Here is a 22,720-nt window from a genome sequence, read left to right on the forward strand (position 1 = left end):
CTAAGTTAGTACATAAACTAAATGAAAGCCTAACTTAGGAGAGTACTTTTGTAACACACAACTGAGTCTCATCCAATCACTGCAGCTGAGCTTCAGTCAGTCTTAGGTGGCTGACTCCTCAGACCATATTCAAACAAAGCAAATGCCAAGCTGTAACTAATTGAGCTGTGTCTGTACCTCACTTACATTTTTTGTCCATAAATGCCACCAGACTACATTGCAGGCTGATGTTGTCTGAACCTGTTCTGGTTTTGAGGCTCATTCTTGTTCAGTTAAACTATTACATTTAATTTGTCTCAAGTTTTTCTTTTAACATACCTAATGGATTTAATTATATATTGGGTTTTAAAACTTCCTAGGTTTTAAACTGGTGAGTTTAAGAGATCAGATATTTCTCTTTTGAGAACCTATAATAAAAATAAAATACGTCGGTAAAGGTTTTAGAGAATATTTAAATGCGTAAGTAGGCACAGCAGTTCTAGGGACAATAGCCTGTTATAAACATAGACTTGAATGACCCAGAGCAGTTTTAGAATAGTGGGAGCTTTGCCTCAGTAGAGATGTCTTTCTGATTCGCTGATGGAGGTAGGCGGTGATCCACAATCTAGAAGCATCCAATTAGGAGAGTGATGTGGATCTTCAGTCAACAGCCCTTCTGTCCATGCCTCATGCCCCAAACTTGAGGTGGAATAGCTCGTCCTATGTTTTCATACACTTTAGGCTGATTGCTTATTTATATTTACCACTCCCAAACTTCCTCTGATGTATATTTTAATCTGATCTTACTTGAATAAAAATATCCATGGAGAAGGAGTCCCAGAATGCTAGGGGAGCCCCTAACATACAGACTAAGCAGGGCACAGCGAGAGGTGGAACAGGAGAGAAACCACTGTGGGTGCACATTGGACCTCCCTGCCTCTTGGGCAGTTTTCTATTCTTTCTTTTTTTTGAGACAGAGTCTCGCTCTGTTGTCCAGGCTGGAGTGCAGTGGCACAATTATGGCTCACTGTAGCCTTGAACTTCCCAGCCCAAGCAATCCTCCCACCTCAGCCTCCCAGGTAGCTGGGACCACAGGCACATGCCACCAGACCCATTCCTATCTATCTATCTAATCTATCTATCTATCTATCTATCTATCTATCTATCTATCTATCTATCTGTCTATTTTGTGTAGAGATGGGGTCTTGCTATGTTGCCTGGGCTGGTCTCAAACTCCTGGGCTCAAGCAATCCTCCTGCCTTGGCCTCCCAAAGTGCTGGGATTACAGGTGTGAGCCACTACACCCAGCCAAGTTTCCTATTCTTGTAAATGTTGTGTAGTTGAATCTTTCCTATCAGCACAGCTGCAAAACTAGGCTCTCATTTACCTGATATATTATTACTCAGCACTCCTCAGTTGCACATTATTGAAATATCTAATGCATTTAAGCAAAATGAGGAATCTGTTATGAGGATACTGGGATGTCTTATGAATGAGATTAGGGCCTATAGAACATCTGGAACCAAAGACTCAAATCACCATCGAGACTTTCTCTTGGATTCTCATTTCTTCTCTGAGTCTATTTCATTATCCCCTCTTACTACTATCTAGATTTTTAGACTTCTCTATCTATTTGTCAAAACCTCCTGAGTTTACATATCCTCAATTCTGGCTATCCTGTGAAAAACTGCCTTAGCTTTCTCAGTTTCAAAGTACCAGGGGATGACTCTGATTGGCCCAGTCTAGATAAGGTGCCCCATCTGAACCAAATCATCTGTGGCCAGGGGTGGTCCACATTGTATTACCATAGAAGATCCTATATAACCCTCTGAGAAGTGCTGGGGGTGGGTGGCACTACTGGGAAGACAATACAAAAGGTGTCCAATACAGCTAGAGAGACAGAGCAGGTCAGGTAGAATCTGGCCTCATCTCTCCCTGACTCCAATTCCTTGTGCTGAGAAAAACTATTTCCTTAGCTGGTGAAAACCTAAGTTCTGACCTGCAATCAGAGGGTGACTTAACCATTCTCTGTCACTGCAGGTATTTCTCTGTGTCTCTCTGAAGATGCTGTGGAGGTCTCTATTCTAGCCTGGTGATACCAGGAAACAGTGTTTTCAGCTGTGCCATCTGGATCTTTGTTTTTGCAAGCAGGTGTTCTTGTGCGATACTTTTGTGGCTCATATGGGGTTTTGATGGTAAAAAAAAAATACCAAAACAAAACAAATTCTAGATCTTCCTTCCCCAGGGGCAGCTGAGGGCACAATTCCCAGCTATTTCTCCATATATCCATCAAAAGCAGTGCCAACTTTGAGAGCTTATAAGATTCCTGGTCTCCCCTGGCAGGTGAAAGCCTTGGCTCAGGTGTTTCTCCCTGGCATTTGGAGGTGCTCCTGTTTCCAGCGTTATGCTCACACCAGATATGAAGCACTGCTCAGAGAATTCCAGGACCAGATGGTTTGGTCCCTAAATGGTCCTAACTCTTTTCAATTTGGGCTTCTTTCCTAAACATTTTACACCCTTTATTTTGCTGTGATGATACTGGCTTGCCTTATTTCTTCCTGCTGAGTTTACCAAGGTGGGGTAAGTTCTATGACCTGAAGTAGAATGGTTTTTTGAGCAAGAAAGTTAATTTTTTTATGAAGTTGGCAGATTTGCCAGTCTCTGCCTGATAGTTGGGTAGTCTTCCTTGGAGACACAATCCCAAATTTCTTTTCTTTATATAATGACCTGTACAGATCAGTAAGGAGTGTTTATTTTAGAGATAGTAAAAATAAGACCCTTGTGTATAATTCCAAATACAAGTATCTATTATTTTGGTAATTAGTGTGTCATTGCTGTCAATTTTTTTTAAACAGCATTTACACTAAATTAGTAGTAGTGATAATGGGACATTTAAGTTCACTCATACAAGCATATCTGTCTACAATAAAATATTTGCTTTCAGTGACAGAAAGTATTTTAAAAGTGTTCATTAGAACAATTTGATAACTGTGTATCCATTATTAATAACTTGAGACAGGGAATTACATGTTATATGACTCATGTGACCAATAAGGAAGCTACCATTTCCATAATTATAAAGAATTTATACCACATTTATTAGACTATTCTGTATCATTTGACCCATTTATGGCTCATTCTGAAAGGGTAAGATTTAAAAATTTATAAAGTTTTTTGAATGAAAAATCTGGCAGGTAATTTCTCCCTTACATTGCTAGCAGTGGGTGCCCACCATCTAAGAGACTGGGGCCATTTTGTTCCACGCCTCCCTCCTCTAACTCCATACTAGCAAAGAACATTTGGGATGCTCTGAGGTATGTTGACCCCTCTCCCTCAGGAGTGAGTTTGAGCAGAGGAAACACATCCCCTCTCTGGGGAGCCTTCTGATGGGTAAACTGTGACAAGAGTTGAAGTGGAAGAGGGTGATGTGGGTTGGCCACATTCTGTAACAAAATTAAGCCATGGGGTGAAGGGCAACTATTCAGTGTCCACGTGTTCTTTGTTCACAGGCCCAGTCAAGGTTTCTTTTTCTGGGGGGCGGGGGGTGGGGAGGCGGAGTCTCACTCTGTTGCCTGGGCTGGAGTGCAGTGGCACGATCTCGGCTCACTCAACCTCTGCCTCCCGGGTTCAAGGGATTCTCCTGCCTCAGCCTCCTGAGTAGCTGGGACTACAGGTGCCCACCATGCCTGCTACATTTTGTATTTTTAGTGAAGATGGGGTTGGCCAGGCTGGTCTCAAACTCCTGACCTCAAGCAATCCACGTGATTACAGGCACAAGCCTGTCAAGGTTTCTGAAGAACCCATTTAAAGAAAAAGTTGAGCAAATGCTCAACTCAGTAAGCTCCCAGTGAATGTTAATTACTGGTGGCACTAGCGCTGCTGCTATTATTCTTCCAATCTTCCAGAGTTAATGACTGTGTGTGTGTGTGTGTGTGTGTGTATGTGTGTGGGTGGAGAGAAGAGGAGGTGAGACTCAGGCTTGAAAGGGTGGAGAGCATAATTTCAAAGGTTGGTAGAAGATGAACCTTTATATTCTAGGTTTTCTTCCTGGCACAGAAGAGAGAACCAGGCCTATTGAATGATTCTTGGCCTGTTATTCTTCCTCCCCAACCTCCGCCCAAAATCTCAAAAGTAGTTGAATTTGGAGCATCTTGAATTTGGAGATTCCCAAATTATTGTCACACTTGAGAACCTGCGACAGCGTTGTTCTTACTACCGGATAAATGAGTGCCGAGAGACTCCAAGTCCAGTCCCACAGGATCCTATTGCATCACCCCCTGTCTTTGGACATGCCTGTGAACAGCAGTTGCTGAAACGATTTTGATGAAATGTGACATTTGCAGACTGTGGCCGCTGACCAAAGAATCTGAGCTATGGTATCCAAAATTTTACAGGCTACAAAATCGAAGCTGGCCAGCATTTATTGCTTGAACTGACAGCTTGAGCCAAGTTTCCTAAGCCTACAGGGCAGACTTCTTACTGCTGCTAATTTTACTATCAGCAAACAAAAGGGAAAGGGGAAACAGTATCAAATGCGGAAGGAGAGTATCTGTGAGCACGAGGTGAACACGGATAATTGGAAGAGGGCGACTTTCTGTGTTCTAAAACTAAAAAGGACTAAATTTGCACAGAAGTAAAACGGGAAAAGGTGTAATACAGAAAAAGCTATAAGCAGAGATCCTGTGCTGACTTCTCAGGACGGCAATGATTTATATATTAAGTCAGGCACCAGGGACATGTTAAAAACTCTACAGGGAAATTTCCCATATGATGGATAGAACTTTAATATTAATGGAGGATTCATCATGGTAATGTAAGTCATAGATCTAAATCTCCTTTCATCAATTGAATAGTTCCTTTCCAGCCTATTATACAGGTAGTACAGGTTTTAAATAGCATCATATAACAGGGCTGAAGTCTTTCTTTAGCTGCAGTTTCTGAAGTTCTGTTCACAGGAATAGTGACTGACTGAGTCATTTGTCTTTCACAATATTACCTGGGCCATCTGCATTTCTCCCCTTTACTTTTTATTAATATTTAGCACTCTTTAAAATATACTTAAGTTGTACTTTTTTCACAAATTAAAAAAAGCAGAATTCAATAAAAACTATTTCACACACATGAAGTGGATATGAAGGAAAAAATCGATTATTCATCTATTTGTTAAGGATTATCCGAAGAAGAAAAGTAATTCCTGCGTTGCTATTTGGTATAGCTGTCTAGTACACAATCACCAATTATATGCATTGCATTGTTCAGCATCTTACTCTGGGTTTTCTAGTCTTCTTGTAACAATGAAAGCCAAACAACATGGTAGCACATCCTCCCTAGGATCTTGTAAGGCAAGGACAACCTTTCTGGAATGAGAATATTCGCAATGTTGAAGTTAGCAATAATAAATAAGGCTTGGCTGCTACTTTTTTTTTCAAGAGGGACTCCAACATTCATTAATGGAGCATACAGTCATCTTTTCTTATCTTAGTCTAAAACATGCATGAAAATAAGTTCAGACTACAAATACAGACTTAAAAGTATATACACAGAAAAGCAGATCCTCAGTTCTATCAAAAAGCTGGGCTTTCCTTAAGCCTGGATATCACTGCATACTGTGCCCCTCTTTTCTAAATTCATAATGTGCACGGACTATCCTCCACTGCAGTTTTATGCCCATGGAGTAACCAGTGTTAACCTATGGCATGTATTCTGTGAGATGTGAAGGTTCTGAGAAGTCCTGCTGTGAAGAAAACTGTTTAATGTTGCAGAATCCAGCATTTTCTAAATTTTATTTTGATGGTGGAATCCCTTTCTTTTTTTGAGACAAAATCTCACCTTGTTGGCCAGGTTGGAGTGCGGTGGTGCAATCTTGGCTCACTACAAACTCTGCCTCCCGGGTTCAAGTGATTCTCCAGCCTCAGCCTCCCGAGTAGCTGGGATTAGAGGTGCCCACTACCACACCTGGCTAATTTTTGTATTTTTAGTAGAGACAGGGTTTTGCCATGTTGGCCAGGCTGGTCTTGAACTCCTGACCTCAGGTGATTTGCCTACCTTGGCCTCCCAAAGTGCTGAGATCACAGGCGTGAGCCACTGCGCCAGTCGTGGAATCCCTTTTTATAGGTAAGATCTGTAAACAATTGGGAAATCTTGGCCTACTGGAGGTATTCATAAACTTGGCCTCTTCTTTTTTGTTTTCAGGGTTTGATTTTCATTGGAAACTTTGTGATGAACTCCTATTCATCCTTCGAGTCGTGATTCAGATGTTACTTCCTCTGTGAAGATTTCTCCACTTGCCCTAGAATGGATGTGCAGTTTTTCCCTTTTGCCTCCTACTCCTTTAGCATTTTTTTGTGTGTGTGTGTCAGATCTATGTTAATGTTCAGATCATTAACTAACTTATTTATTTTTATTTTCCCCTTCTGATCTATAATTGCCTTTATTTTAAGGAGTGTATTTTTATTGTCAGTGCCCTACAGAGTGGCTGGGTCATTGTAAGAGCTCAACAAAGATCTGCCGAAGGAATGGATGAATAAGTAGAACCTGGGAGCTTAAGCAGAAAGATTATCTTTCTGGTGTGTTGATGTGTGATTAATGAATGAACCTTTTGAGTTAAGTACTTTCTCCATTATAGTGACTAATTTCCATAGAGTTGATTGGATTGAGATAGACTCTGTTGTGAAATGGTTAATCATTTAGTCTGCCAAAAAAGCAAGATTGACTGTTACTCAGTCTGTTTTCCGCCTTGTATGAACATAGTACCTATTCATAATGGAGACCTTTTTGGTGTATACTCACTACCAGTCTATAACTCAGAATTTCCTCTTTTTTTTTTTTACCTGCTAAGGGAAAATATTGAATTTATAGACCTCTTTACCTTTCATTAAAAAGCTGGCATTATAGATTTATGGAATTACAGATTTGACTATATTATGCTTTTAGCCTTTTAATTTATAATAGTTAATTTTTTTTCCTGATATATTCTAGGTTTCAGGCTTCAAATTTTATTGTGGGTTGGGCACATTTTTCTCACTTTTTTTCCTTCCTTCCTTCCGCTCTCCCCACTCCCTCCCTTCCTTCATTCATTTTAAAAAACCTTTTAAAAGATGTGCAAGAATGAAGATAATAATCTCCCTCTCTGGCTCTACTACACTTCAGTTCTATGCCCATGCATGACGAATGTTAACACTGTGGTATATGGCTTCAGGTATTTGGTTGGCATAGATTTGGGGAAATGTAAGGACTCAGGCCAAGATGCAGCTTGGCTAGAAGGCTACATTTATAACATCCTTTTCTACAGTTCTGTGTTCTCTTTTTGAAGATGGTTTATAAACTTATAACCTGGTAAGGATATTAAGAAGAATCCATGTGTCCAAGAAAATTAATTATGTTTCTGTCGTACAGACTAGGATGGCAAATTAGGTAGGGATAAGTCAACTCTTTCTGTAGGTTGTCAGAATGTAAAAAATAGGTAGCATATCTGATTAGAAGAGGAAGAGGGAAAAAAAGTTAAGCCAGAAAGGTTGTTAGCTTGGGGTCAGGAACACCCATTATTTCCTCCCCCACAGCAATGAAGTCTACCACTGCAGGGAAGTGACACTCCTGAGTACCCCTGGCACCATGGCAAGGCCTAAAACCAAAGCAAAATGGATGATAGTAGTTGGGGAGGCGAGGGAGGAGAGAAAGAGACCATATGAAGTAATGGGACAAGCACTTGATTTGGAAGTTAGGGAGTCTGCCTTCTAGTTTCTAGCTTCTGGGTAACCTTGAGCAAGTTATTTAGCTTGTAGTTTCTTCCTGCAAAAAATCTGTGGATTGTGGGATAATCTTTAAGGGCTCTCTACCTCCAAAAGTCTGTGTGTTGGTGATGTGAGATAAAGAGTTTGAGAGAGCTGGAGAAAAGAGATGTGTGGATAGGATTGGTAAAGATCATCCAACTCAGGTGCCCCTGAACTTGTCAGTTCAAAATGGCTAAATTGACAGGCAATTGCCCCTGAATTGCTCAGGGGCAATTCCTGCTTCCTCAAATCCAGGAGACAATTGACTAGCTCTAGAAGTTTCTGTTCATTAGCTGGGGTGGAGCTGAGAATCTGGCTAATAGAGAAAGGAATTGTTATATATAACCCCTGCCAGGAAGCCAATAGATCACAGGCAGTAGATAGAGTCCTTCTTAACCAGTTAAGTCTCGCACCTGCAGGTTCACCCCGGGAAACCATGCATGGAAATGGGGATTGTATCCTGGAACTTTTATCTTTAGATGGGCTAATTTTGACTGAGCACAAATTCCTTGGCTAAGGACCAAGTGTTCCTGGGAGCCAATCCTCTGTAGCAGGGTTTAGCTTTAAGGCTATTTGAAAGCCAAAACAAAGAGAATGAGTTTCACATTCTCAAGCAACTGCTCTGATGCCTGAATTCTAAAAGGTGTTCCAGAAACAGAGCTCACAGACTCTAACCCTTGACCATCAGAGTTCTCCCTGTAGCCCCTTTCAGGGTAAGTGTGGGGACAGTCAGTTGTGGAATGTTAGATGAGCAGAAAACTTTCCAGGGCTGTAGGTTGTTAGTTGATTCCCCAGAAAGCAGTTCTGTGAAGCTATTCTTATTTTTACATATGGCATATCTGAAAAAGGGATTATTTGGTGATTGCAACATTTTTTGTTTTATGTGCCTCTGCAGGCAAGATATGTTTTGTCTTCCATCAAGTCTTTAAAAAATATTTATCCTGGCATCTTCCCATTTTTCTTTCCACATGGAAACTCTCATATTTTTAAGACTAGTTGTGAAGTCATTCCTGGGTATGCACATTATATGGAGCTCTTAGAAAAACTTTGAAGGACAATGAATATAAAACGATAGTTTTTTTTATTAATATGTACCAGACATTACAAGCCATTCTTTTGTTGGGCTCTTCTCGATTAGCAAGCTGTAACAAAGTGTGGCAATTATGCTTTTTCTAGGGGGACAGCATATTGAAAACTATGGAAGATAAGAAAAACATGAGAATTTGAAAAAATGTTCTCATGATAGCATCATGAAAGCAATGTTATCTTATAGTTAAATAAAGCATGAACAATAATTTTGGGTTAGGTATGTTCTTCAATTATGCATTTGATTTTGGTAATAAAAGACGAATGCTTTTCAATAACGTTTGGAATTTAAATATACTGTTTCTTTTTCCCACTCTTCATGAGAGCACTTACCAATGCAAAAGTTACCTCTAGCCCATTCTTGTCCATTAAAAATTAAATGCTTTTACAGTAAATTATTAAAAGTGCTAGGTTGGCTGCAAATCATCAAAGGTACCATAAACCATTATGCAAGCAAGCGAGAAGTCTGATTAAATCTAAGGGATCAGAAGGCATATACATCCCTTGATATCCATCGCAAATTTGAAACTTACAAAAGCTACCATAAAATGCTACATTAAATTACTTTAAAAACTCTTCCAGGATTTTCACAATTCAACAGTGACTTGCCTTTTCAATTAAGTATGAACTAGGAACCTTCTACCACAAAGCACAGACACACCACTATTTAGAAGTTATTTCCACTTTCTCTAAACCTGCAGCAAAATTAAACCCATTTTTCCAACTAATATAGCTCGCTTAATGGAACTGGGGCACTCTAACAGGTTTGCTGAAAAGCTAGTAATTAATGAAGTTCTTGTTTTCCTGCAAAATATCTTTACTATCATTTGGTTATGAAAACAAAGATATGATGGGTCCTGAATATTGCAACACCATTATGAAAATGTTAGAAGTATTTAACTAAGAGATGTTTGAAGAAAAGAAAAGATAATTCATTGTTTTGCTTCAAAGAGACAATGTACACCAAATGTAAAATACCTAGCATAGTGCCTGGCCCATAGTAGTCACTCAATAAATGGAGACTTTTATTGTTGTTAACTCAATTTTTCATTTGAAAAACTCAGGTTCCACCAAGACTAACTTGTCTAGTGCTACCTGGATGGTGTGAGCCCCAGGGTGGTTGATTCTGAAGCCAGCAGCCCTAAGCATTACTGGCCTTCTTAGAATATGACTGTGCAGTTGACCTATTAGCTACTCATGTATGTGTAAAATGGCCTATTGAAACAAGATATAGGAGAAAGAAAAGTATAATCATGGAGGTAACATTTAGTCAAGTTGCAAAAATTGTGGAGAAGAGGAACAGCAATTGAAGCAAACATTTACAGTTGGGTTCTAGAGCAGGGTCTGCTCCCAAGTCTCCCACCCATTGTTTACATCTACCAAGTGGGGTGAGGATGAATAATTCTGTAGTATATCTGGGATTGGTTTGGGTGGCTAATGAACCTGAATGAATAAATGAAAAGCAAACATTTGTGGGTTAAGTGTCAGATGACTTCATCTGTCAGCAATTCTCAGACTTTAGTATGTATCAGAATTACCTGGAATACCTATTAAAACACAGCTGCAGGTGGTGACCCTAGCATTTCTGCTTCAGTAGGTCTGGAGTGGGATTCAAAAATTTGCACTGCTAACTAGCTGACGGGTGAGGCCAGTGTTGCTGGTCCAGGGACCCCACTTTGAGAACCATTGATTTAGGTTATCTAATTAATGCCACAACCCTGTGATGTAGGTGTTATTAGCCCCATTTTATAGATGAGAAAATGGATGAGTGGTAAGCTTGGGAAATTTTTCAGAGTGATGGTTTAGACCCTGGTTACAGAGAAGCTGAGAAATTGCCTTCAAAGAATTTCTGAATTTCTCCAATGGGTGACAGAAATGTAAGACTACAGCTGTTCATCTCTACTTCCCACTACCCTCCAGAAAGATGAATGTTGTCAGAATGAGACAAAAACTTGTTGGTATGTACCCAGCATGGCACGGTTCCAGAAACAATGAAAATGGAAACAATTCTTTCAGAGATCCTTGAGCACTTTAGATGGGAGAAGCTGAGGCATGGAATGGTTAAATGACTTCTTTGATTTTATATAGTGTATGAGAGGCAGCATTAGGATATCAGATGTCCTGAAATTCAATGAAATTTTAATTACAGGAGGAAAAATTTAGAGCTTCTGTTTGCCATCTTGATTGCCATCTGCCATGCCTGCTATCAAAAAAGCCAGATAATGAAGTGGAATAGATACCAAATCAGGAATCAGAATTTATTTATTTATCCTATATTTATCGAGTATCTTCCACATGCTAGGCACTGTTCTTGGTGCTGGGGAAAAAGTGGTAAACAAGATAGACAAAATTCTTGTTTTTGTACCCTAAAGGCAGTGAGACAATCAATGAATATGTTAGACAAACAAACAAACAAAAACAAAACCCAGTAAATGTAAGAGAATGATAAATACTATGAAGAAAATTAACATCAGATAATGTTATAGAAGATGATCACAGATTCAGAAACTTAAAAACACAGGTATAATGGTTTACTAAAGATGCAAAGAAGAACTGAGGGAGATTCACCACTAGCCAGAGGCTGGATCTGTCACATCCCAGTTCTTAGCATTTTGATTTTCTGGGTTCTATTTTAGCCATGACTATAACCCAAGATTTCCCCTCCAAACCTCTCCAGAAATTGTTTTGAGATCCTCAGGGGAGAAATGCTCTTGTATTCAGTCTTGTAAGCAAACTACAAAGAGATGATAATATACAGTTGGAAAGTTATGCAGGGATACATTTTGAAAACAGGTGAGATGATTGTATGTCACATGATGCATGTATATGTTTGATGAAAGATTCAGATATGGATTTTAAAGTCAAGGACAACAATCATAGTAATAATTGATTTAAGCAAGAATTACCAAAGGTTGGTCAAGCCAGCACATGTGCACATCTCTTCCCGACTCTGAGTTGAGTGATAACATAGTGAAGTCAGCCACGGTGGGAGTATTTAAACCAGGAAGTTGGCAAAGATGACAATGCAGGCCTTTACAAATTACTATTCTTTTTTCCCAGATTGAAACTGCCATTGCAAAGATTATAACTGAGGAAATTATGGCAGTGAAAGAGATCAGAGCTAATCGACTCCATCTTGCTTCTGACATTTAAGCTATCCTTGCTCATTCCTGGACATAGGCTGAACTAACTTTGGGAAGGAATTCAGTTTATGGTTTGACTTTAAAACAAAATTGATAATAGCCCTTTCCTGAAAAGACCCACTTCTTGCCTGGGCACCAGTCTGCCTTTGCAGGACTACCAAATTAGCTATAAGAATAGAAATTATGGTTTAGGGGGTATGCAACCTCTGACTGCAAGAGTCTGAACCTCCCCAAATTACTTCTGGGGGTAACATCATTATTGTAAAACCTAAGATCAGTTCTTGAGATATTTTGCAGACCCTGCACTGGACGGATCACCTGACACTGGGAACACCCAGACCGTGGTAATCTGGCTCAACCAGTTCTGCCATCCCACCCTGGAATAGAAGACAGCAGCAAACCTCACTTCGACCCCCTATGATTCCATCTCCACCCTGACAAATCAGCACGCCCCACTTCCAAGCCCCTACCGTGATTTGAGTACTAATAAAACTCCCATCTCCCACACAGCTGGCTCTGCATGAATTACTCTTTCCCCATTGCAATTCCCCCGTCTTGATAAATGGGCTTTGTCTAGGGAACAAGCAAGGCGAACCCATCGGGAGGTTACAAGAGTGCTGGTTGTTGTTGAGAAACCCCTCCATAGGTCTCTTGTGCTTTTACACGTCTTGCTGGGTATGCCAAAAATGTGCCTTGGCTTCTCTTTACCTAGGTAATTTCTCAGGGTTTCATCTGTAGTGAACAACTTTGAAAGATGAGGTGATATCTCCCTCTGAGACAAAGAACAGGCTTGCTTACTGTTTGCTATAAAAGTGGCAGATTTTTGAAGTTCAGTGTTTTTCTCCCATAACACAGCATGCTGCATATGCAGGCCTGCCATGTAGCCGTCATGGGACATAAAAGCAAAGGGAGCCAGTGTAAACATGCTGATGCTTATGATGCTTGCTATGCTGTGAGTAATAAAGTCTGTTGTCTCTGACCCCAGAGTCTTGTGTTTTCTGCCAGTATCCATGACACTGTAACAGGTTAACTTAGTAGCTTAAAAAAGTAGGGTAAAATAAAATTGCAGCCTTGACAGTTTTGGTGATAAGGAAGGAATGCAGATGGGAACTTGGCTTTCTTTTTTTGTTTTAATTAAAATTTATTTATTTATTTACTTTTGAGACAGAGTCTCGCTCTGTCGCCCAGGCTGAAGTTCAGTGGCGTGCTCTCTGCTCACTGCAACCTGTGCCTGCCAGGTTTAAGCGATCCTCCTGCCTCAGCCTTCTGAGTAGCTGGGACTACAGGCACACACCACCATGCATTTTTAGTAGAGACAGGGTTTCACCATGCTGGCCAGGCTGGTCTTGAACTTCTGACCTCGTGATCCTCCTGCCTCAGCCTCCCAAGGTGCTGGGATTACAGGCATGAGCCACCACGCCCAGCCCAAGGGACTTGGCTTTCTTGAAAAGGAAGAACAAGGATTCCATAAACCAGGATCAGATAGATGAGAAAACTCCCTGGGATCTGGTAGCAAATGTTCCTGCCCCAAGTAGTTGGGAGGGGGAGGATTGTGCGTGTGGAAGGTGGCGGTGGAGGAGGGGTTTCCCACTGTCCTATCTCTTAATAAACATGAGTTGAATTAATGCTTAGAGGCTAAGCAGCAAAAACCAGGACTAAACAAGCCACCTGAATGGTGCTTGATTGTTGCTCATTCTCTCCTCTTGGTGGGCAGAGTCAGAAATGTTATCAGGACAATGGGCGAGCAAGCTCCTTGGCCCCGGCTGAAACACAATGTCTCTATGGACATTGAGCCAGGAGTCCTCAAAGCCAAACAACTGATGTTAGCAATGAGGACTTTGCTATTTACATAGAGCTTTCCATGAACCAAAACCATTGGTTTATATGAGCTGAAAACATTGGTTAAGCCATGAGCGGGAGAGTGCTCAGAAGGAAAAGTGAACACAGAACCTTGCTTAGTAGCACTGAGGTGCTGCAGTCATGTCCCTGGTCCTTGCCACAGTTCAACTTCACCAGTGAGAGATGGGCACTAGGCACAGGGGTCTCCAAAGCCTTCAGAACAGCATGGTGGAGCTGTAGCCAGGGTGTTTACAGGGTAGAATGAAAGGGGACCCTGAGCCCTGGTGCTCGCTGGATGCCAGGGGTATATGAGGAGGAAGTAGTGCCAGTGCTTGGGCACCAACCTGGGGGTGAAGGGTCAAAAGAGGTAAAATGAAAAGGCTAACACCATAGCCTTATCCTCCCTGCTGGCATTCAACCCTGCCCTCTCAGCTGGGAAATAGCGTGGTCTAGAGGCTGTTGCTGTAGATCCTGACATGTACTCAGGTCAGCTCCTTGCAGCCTGTGGGATTTGGACAAAGTTGGAAGTAGGGAGGGGGAGCTAATGTGGCCTACTGGGTGGAAATTCTGGGCTAATTCAATATCCTGTTGTGGTTTGCACGGCTGAATGCATGATTGGTAATGATATTTTATATGCTTGTACTGTGAATGTCCACAAATATCAGAGGGAATTTTCCTGTTCGGGGATGACCACATGTACTGTCCAGCAAGTCCAACAGAAACAATATATAAACCTGAGGGAGAAAGGGAAATGTCAGCTTTAGTGAGGGATAATGACTGCTGGAATACTAAGAGAGGCCATTCTTCAGTACATTAGCTCCACTTCTCTCACACAGCCACCAAGTACTCCTCCCACCACACTCTTCCCTATTGGCAGCTATTAACCTGCTACTAAGCTCTTGTTTAAACTGAAAATCTTTCCAACAGAAGCCTGTGACTCTCAGGCTGGATATTCCCATTTGGGATGGGTCAAACAGAACTCAACAAAACAAGGTGGGAAGCGCCCAGTGAGCCTGTCTTGTCAAATAGAAATAGTATATTTAAGAGTGCTGCTCTAGTGGCATCTGAGAGGCCACTGAGTTTTACGTGAAACAGTAGCAGTCATCTCTTTGGAAGAAACTTTTATCTCCCCCTCCACTGCCTGAAGGAAAGCTGCTGGCTCAATAGGGCCCTTGATTCATCAAGGTTGGTCTGTAACCCTGAGCTCTTTCACTGATGATGGTTTAGCTAAGATGACATCTGATGATGTCCACTGGGTGGAAGCAACCATCCAGCCTCAGTGACAATTCTGTAAGACCAACTGCAGCACAATGGGCTGAATTGAAAGCCACACCCTCGCCTTAGACAGTACTCCTAAGGACTATTTCTGACTCTTAGGCTGTTACCAATGGCCTAGCCATGTGGTCTGCCACTTGGAAGACTAACACGGGCAGATAAAGATATTCCTCTCTGCGGCCATGAACTGTATAAACAAATTGTGTCTCCCAAGTAGATAGTCTGGGTCCCTTGTGTTGATGGCATTGTAAGGGCCTGTTGTCTGATGGGAACAATGAGAATTGAGCTGTTGATTGAGTGTGCAATGCCCAGATTGCTCCTATTGCTGCCTGGTGTCCTCACCTCATCAGAAATGGCAACAGATCCACCATTGCAGACTAGACACTGTAAAGGACCATGTGTTTCTGATGCAGAAGCTTCCACTGTATACCAGACTTGTGACTCCTGCCGAATTTTGGCCTGTTTGTTCTGTGGTAAAGTAGGCCACATTGCACAGGACATTACCTCTGTCTATTCCTGGCAAATTGACTATATCAAATCTTTGACCCCCTTTTGAGACTACCATTGTTGTCTCAATGCTTTGACATTTTTCTTTTTAAGGTTATGCTATTGCTGTTTCAGTCCAATCAGCTGACTCTAGCCACACCATTGTGCTTTAAAGTGAAATTGTGTCATGCATTAGGCTTTCTGAATCATTTGCAAAGAACATCTAACAATGAGATAATAGTCAAATACTTAAATGGACATTCCATATTCCTTACTATATCCAGTATTGCTGAGTGCTAGAATGGCATTCTCAAAAACTAACTCAAAAGTGTTTCTGACTCTTTGTCCAGTACATTTTCCTGGTCTACATATTTTAGTAAGGCAATTTGGTCACTTGATTTGGCTGTCTCAAGAAAAGGTCATCCTTTTTGGTTACTTCTGAGTAATAATTAGTACAAAAGGAGTACAGAGTTATATAGATCCGTTATGAAAGCTTGGGACTCCATTCTGACTAATCATGGACATGGTATGTCTTTCCTTCCCCTAATAGCAAATCCGGGTCAGCCTGATTGGTACATTTTCCAGGTGGCAGCCTGGGCAAAAGAAACCTGGGACATGACTGGTCCTGGATTATTCTGCTATGTCTGATGTTATGAATGGTTACAAACACACAGTCTGGCACAACATTGTTTCAATCTGACTGATTATAAATTCATATGCTTCTCCCGCTGCCTGAGCAGTGTTAGGTTAAATAATGTATGACTGTAACTACTCAGTGGCACTGCCCATGTTTTTTAACTCAACATACTTGTGATTGAGATCAAGTTTAACAACAAATATCAAATTGGAGTAACTGGGAGACTTTCAGGTTCTATGTTTGTATGTGGAAGAGAATGGACCATGAATTGTCTCACCATTTGTGTTGGGGGCTCCTTTTTGACCCAACTATTCTCCCTGTAATTATTGGCGATTATACCAAGGACTGATGAATTAACCTCTAATTCAATGAATTCACCTTTAAGTTGATGAATTAACTACCTTCTTTTGTGTGGGTCATTATGGACAATAGACAGACCTTCAAGACCATTCTAGCTGGCCACCCAAAAATGTCCACATCCTAATCCCCAGAACCTGTGAATATGAGACATGATAGGGAAAAGGGACTTTGCAGATGTGATTGAGTTAAGGATATTGATATGGGGAGATTATCCTGGATTATCTGGGTGGGCCCAAGGTAACCACAGTGGTCTTATAAGAGGAAGGCAGAAGGGACAGAAATGTGAGTGAATATTTAAGAATGGAAGCAGAGGTCAGGGAGGAGGAAGATGATTTAAAGATGGAGGAAGACGTCATGAGCCAAAGAATATAGGAGGCCTCTAGAAGCTGGAAAAGGTAAGGAAACAAATTCTCCCCTAAAGTCCCCAAAACGAATGCAGTCCTATGGATCCATTTTACACTTCTGACCACTAGAACCATAAGATAATAAATTTGTGTTGCTTTCAGTCACAAAGTTTGTGGCAATTTGTTACAGCAGTACTAAGAAATGAATACAGATTTTGGTACCAAGGGTGGGGTGCCGCCGTAACAAATACCTAAAAATGTGAAAGTTGCTTTGGAATAGGTAATAAGTGGATGCTAGAAGAATTTTGAGGAATATAATAGAAGAAGCCTAGATTGTCTTGAATAGATTGCAAGTAAAACATTGATATTAAAGAATTTGCTTGTGAGGGTTCAGAAGGAATTGGGGAGCACGGTAGAGAAAACCTATGTTTTCTAAGGGAATACGTCAATTACCATAAATAGGCCATTGATAGAAATATGGATGCTAGCATCACTGCTGATGGAGGCACAAAGGAAATGAGGAACACCTTATTGAAAACTGCAAGAAAGGTGACCCTTGCTATATAGTAGCAGAAAGCTTAGTGTTGAAAGCAAATAGTTGAAGATGCAGCCTTGTTTCTTCCTGCTGCTTACAATAAGATGTAAAAGGAAACAGAGGGATTGAAGAAAGAACTGTTAAGCAAAAAGGAACCAGGACTTGATAGTTTGGGAAATTCTCAGCCAATCCATATTGCAAAAGACACTAAAATGAGGAGATTTACTGTCAAGAAAGTACGTCTTGAAGGGAAAGCCAAGGGTGTGGCTGGACAACCTCTTGCCAGTGCATCAGAGGGGCCAAAAGGCCAGAGTATTCAGTCATACAGAGGGCTCTGTGAGGAGATTAGATGTGATTCATGGGTCCCATAAGCCATCTAAGAAGAAACCAGGAATAGAGATGGGGTTATCAAAGAAAGATCTGTAAAGGAAAAGCACCTTCTTGTCTAATGGTATGAATCCCTATAAATAAAAGGAATCCTTTCCTTTTATTTTCTCTCCCTTTTTCATCTTTATTATGAAGGAAAAAAATAGTAACTACAATGGATAAATCTGGCACCTTAACCAAGTAATCAAAGTTAACATTATCAGTAATGGGACAGATGGAAATTTTGTGCCACCTGATAGGAGGCAATGAGAACACAGTATCACTTCTGTGAGATTCCTGTCAAAAATATAATCTGAATCTAACCTTGAGGACAAACTCAAATTGAGAGAGACAAACTCTAAAATAACTGGTCTGTATTCTTTCAGATGTCAAAGTCATAAAAGACAAAGACAAACTGAGAAATTATTACAGATTAAAGAAGAAAAGGAGACAACGATCACTCAAGACATGATCTTGGATTGGATCCTTGAGTAATACATTTTTTCTCTCTTTTACTATAAAAGATATTATTAGGACAATTAGTCTAATAATGAAATAAGGTCCTTAGGTAACATAATAAGGTGGGTATCAATGTTACTTTTTCAGATTTTAACAACTGTACTATTGTATGTAAGAGCATGTCCTTGTTTTTGATAGAAATACACACTTAACTATTTATGTCTGTAACTTTCTCATGAACAGTTCAGGGGAAATACACACACAAATGTATATATATTTACATATGCAAACAGAGATAGACAAATATGGGAAAGCATTAACATCTGGTGAATCTGAATCAAGGAAATATGGAGATTCTTTGTGTGTAATCTCAGATGAAGATCGTTTACTCCCATTTCAGACAGTGCTTCAGTGTGGAACACAGAGTTGTACTGATTAGAGTGAAAGCTAAGCTGCAGTAACAAAGAGGCCCAACAACACAGTGGCTTAAGAAACAAGGCCCTTTATTCTCATTCTCGAAGCAATCCAGAACCGGCAGAGGGGCCCATTTGCTCCGTGCAGTCACGAGGGCTCCTTCCATCTCATTTCTCCCCATCACCTGGAGCACCATCCTCTTTCACATGGTTGATGCTAGCTTACAGGCCTTATCATGTTCCAGCTCACCAGAAAGGGTAAGAAAGTGGTAGAGCACGTGTGCCACGGTTGAAGGCCCAGGCCTGGAAGTGGCACACGTCACTTCTAACTCATATTCCTGATGGGGAGGTCTTGGTCATATGACCACACCAAGTTGCAGGGAGGGAATTTGTGGGAAGGGAAGGAGGTGTGATGTGGAGCTGGGCAACTCAATTAATATGGAAGAGGAGTGGAATCCGTTTGGTGGGCTACAATAAACCTTTGCTACAAGTAGCCTGTGTAAATCTCTGTCAAAATATCTGCAGCGTAGTTTTATTTATTTAAGTTTCCCCACTAGCCTGTGAGCCCCATGAGGACCAAGGACTAAGCTCTCACTTCTGACTTCCCAGTATCTAGCTCACATGTGAACACTCACTATGTTTCTATTGAAAAATGAATGGGGCACTTAAGTGTCTGGGTTGGGGGAGCAGGACAAGGGCAAAGATGAGCATCATTTTCATGACCTAGTTCAGAAAGCAAAGCTGAGCTTACTTATCAATGGCACTACACACCAAGTTTGTATAAGGCATTTGGTGAAAAGCTTTGCTCTGAAAAGAATGAGTTAACTCAGCCAAAAAGGGTGGGGCGGGTAGCACAATTCAAATGTGACATTCTACAGTTCAGCTCAAAAGAAGCAATTGGCTGATTGTCACCAAGTGACCTCACTTTGCTCTGCAGTTATCAGCATGGGAAGATATAAAACAGGTGAACCTGTGAATGTACACTGGTTTTAAACAGAGATAGAGGATGTAAAAGTCATTCTGAAGCATATGGGAGGAGCTGCTTCTACAAACCTGATTTCCCAGCTGCACAGTGGGATCAGAGGAGCAGGGCCGGGGACTTTTGTTCCGCAGAGTCCACCCCCACTCCCTATAGAAGGAGAGCTTCCAGGTGGCCTAAGTCAGCAGAATCAAGCAGGGTGCCCCATCCTGGGCTCCTGGAGACAACAACAGATGGCGGATGGGCAAAGCAAATTAATCAAGCCACCAAATGTTCTCAGATTTGGTTTTCAAATTCGCTACTAGTTACACACCGCCACTGTTACTGTGCATCATATTTACTTGACAGCATTGTCCAGTCCTTAGATTTCTCTCACTGGCTCACGCTAAAGAACATATGCCTTGTATTTCAATTAGCATTTTCCAAAGTTCAAGGGAATTCTGGGGCTGAAAAAAAACCAGTATGCCAGGAGTTCATGTACAAAGGCCATCTGTGGGGCTCATTTCAGTGTGCTGATGTAGCCTAAAAGGCAGAGGCTTGAGCTTAGTCTTTTTGAAATATAGGTTTTAGAAAAGCTCCTTGAACATACTGCAACACACTCCATGTGGGATTCTTGTCCGTCTCTTTGGAGGAGTTGGTCATGACTTTTAAGATCTTTTCTCATCCTTCCAGCTCTTCCCATCATCCATGTGAGGCCGTAGCTGTGTACAGAGCAGATTAGTGCAGTCTAACCACTCATCCATCACATAAGCCTTTCAGCAGCGAGTAGGCAGCCAAATGTCAGCGTGGCATGAAACTCCAGAGAAAGCACAGTCTACACAGATAAGGGCCAGCAAAGCACAGGGTATGGGTTTTGCTCACAGAGCATCTAGATGTGTTGTGCTACTCCTAGAGGATGTTCTTAACATCGAAAGCGACAGCTGAGGAGAAGAACTATCTAGAGGGCAATTTGGTCATAGCATGGAGATGAGGAGAATGGGAGACATCAAGGGATGGAAACGGATGAGGTGGGCACATCCCCAAGAACCATAAAAATGTCCCAAAGACATCTGAAAATACATTTGGAAACCGTACCTCAAGGCAGTGTGGTCCAGGTTCTGGTTCCTTCCCTGCCAGTACCTCCAATCACCTCTCTGGAGCTGTTTCCTTTCTGTGCAGTGTGGTGGGTAAGACTCCCTAGGTGATTCTCAATAGGCCATATTCACATGGTGCGGCTGGTCTAAGCCCAAGTGTCATGAGGATGGAGAGGACACAGAGGATGAGCCCAGGCAGGGCCAGCTCTGGGAACGCTGGCCACCTTATCAAAGGACATATTCCACATAGACTTGGCTGGAAGGACCTTCATCAGAATTTTTTTTATTACTACCAGGAGAGTGAAAATCAGGAAAACAATTTCCATGGTATCCATAAATTGGGGCTGATCTTGAGATGAATTATAACAAATTCTTTTGCTTATGTACTACTTTTCAGTTCCTAAAGTGCTTTTAAGCTCCACTCTTTGGGGATAAGTGGGGGGATTATTTATCCACTTTAGAAATAAAATTGCATAGAATTTGAGACCTCCTAGCAAATGGTAGAGACAGGATAAACCTAACTGGTGTGATTGAGAAGGCCAAGCCCCTCTTCATCTGCCTCAGAATATGTCCCTCGACTCAGCCAAAGAGTAACAAATACCTACATTAACCCTTTAATATGGATTAGTCGTTAAATTATATTGGTTAACTGTCATCTAATGAATAGCAAAATCTTGAGGAAACCAGGCACAAATCAAATCAATTTGTTAGACAGGAAGGTGAAAGGAATGGCCTAGGTGCTCACACATGTTCGCATGGGCAAGATAAGTCCAGGCTGGCATTCAGGGGGCCCAGGGTCAGGATGAGTGCACTGACATAGCCACAGGGCCAGAGATCAGGAGCAGCAGGTCCAAGGGCAGATGTGGGTTCATGAAGCAGGAGTTTTGACACATTTAGCCCTTTGTGATTTTGTTTGAGGCAGGCCCTGTCTGGAGTACTGCATTCAGCACAATGAAGAAAAACACAGTGAATACCTGAAAAAGAGATGCTCAAATGCTCAAATGGATACGAATGACTTCAATTATTTATAACACCTCCATATTTCAAGGCTCTACCCCCTGGATTCTGATTGTATAGGTCTGAGGTGCAGCCTAGGAACCAGCATTTCCAAGGACCATGCCAGGTGATTACAATGCAGAGGGTTCATGGATTACAACGAGTAATACTATACTAGTTGTGCATCCAGAAGGTAAACGATGGGCAATACTTGAGTGGTGTTTAGTTCTTCCCTTACCTGCGGATATTTTGTGCCGATTTGGAGGCCATGGGTGGGCACTTCATGGCATTTCTATCTGCTGCTATGGAAGAGAGCTCTTCCCGCCCCCATCCTATGCAGAATCTTTAGATTGAGAGGGGTATGGGAGTCTTCCTTCTACATTTCCCAAACAAAGACATAGCTCAAACAGCTTGTCACATGAGGTGGTTAGGAGGCTCCCCGGTGCATTTGGAAGGGAGTGAAAGCTACAGAGTATACAGGGAAATTGAGCAGGAAGCCACGTCTCCAAGGCATCCATTAGAGAATGGAAAGAGCTGGCTAACTGAGTTATAGGGTCATAATTCCATCTCAGGATTCTGGCAATAGCATAAACCACTAGAACTCTTCCTTGGTAGTTTATGAACACTTTGCCCTCCCTACCCTCACCCCACCTCCTGCCTTGGAAGATTAATAGCTCTGTAAATTACAGTTGTATTAAAATATATGTATTGTATCTTGATATGAGGCTTTCATATGGGTATGAAAGCACCCTCAACTTCCATCTCCCTAGGTGACATGTCTTGCTTTGTGTACTAATGCAGTTTCAGTGTTGAAAAAAAAAGGACTTCCAGACTGACAGAAGCACCACAAAAGGCTGTGCTGGGAATCAGCAAATGTAAAAGTACAGAGGCAAGAAAAAGATGGACATTAGGGGATGCCCAGGAGAGAAATGTGGCTGAAGTAGAGAACTTGAGTAGGTTGAGACTATGGTGTGTGTGTGT

At 41.5% G+C, this 22,720-nt stretch overlaps 1 annotated feature.

Annotated features, from left to right (window-relative positions):
• Positions 7,757-8,515: an enhancer, noted in NCBI's record as "OCT4-NANOG hESC enhancer chr7:25283553-25284311 (GRCh37/hg19 assembly coordinates)". NCBI's record gives its function as "activates a minimal SCP1, AML or CMV promoter by ChIP-STARR-seq in naive H9 embryonic stem cells {active_cell/tissue: H9 hESC(naive)}" and the evidence as "EXISTENCE:reporter gene assay evidence [ECO:0000049][PMID:30033119]".

This window comes from Homo sapiens, chromosome 7, assembly GCF_000001405.40.
Source record: "Homo sapiens chromosome 7, GRCh38.p14 Primary Assembly".
Classification (NCBI taxonomy): domain Eukaryota; kingdom Metazoa; phylum Chordata; class Mammalia; order Primates; family Hominidae; genus Homo; species Homo sapiens.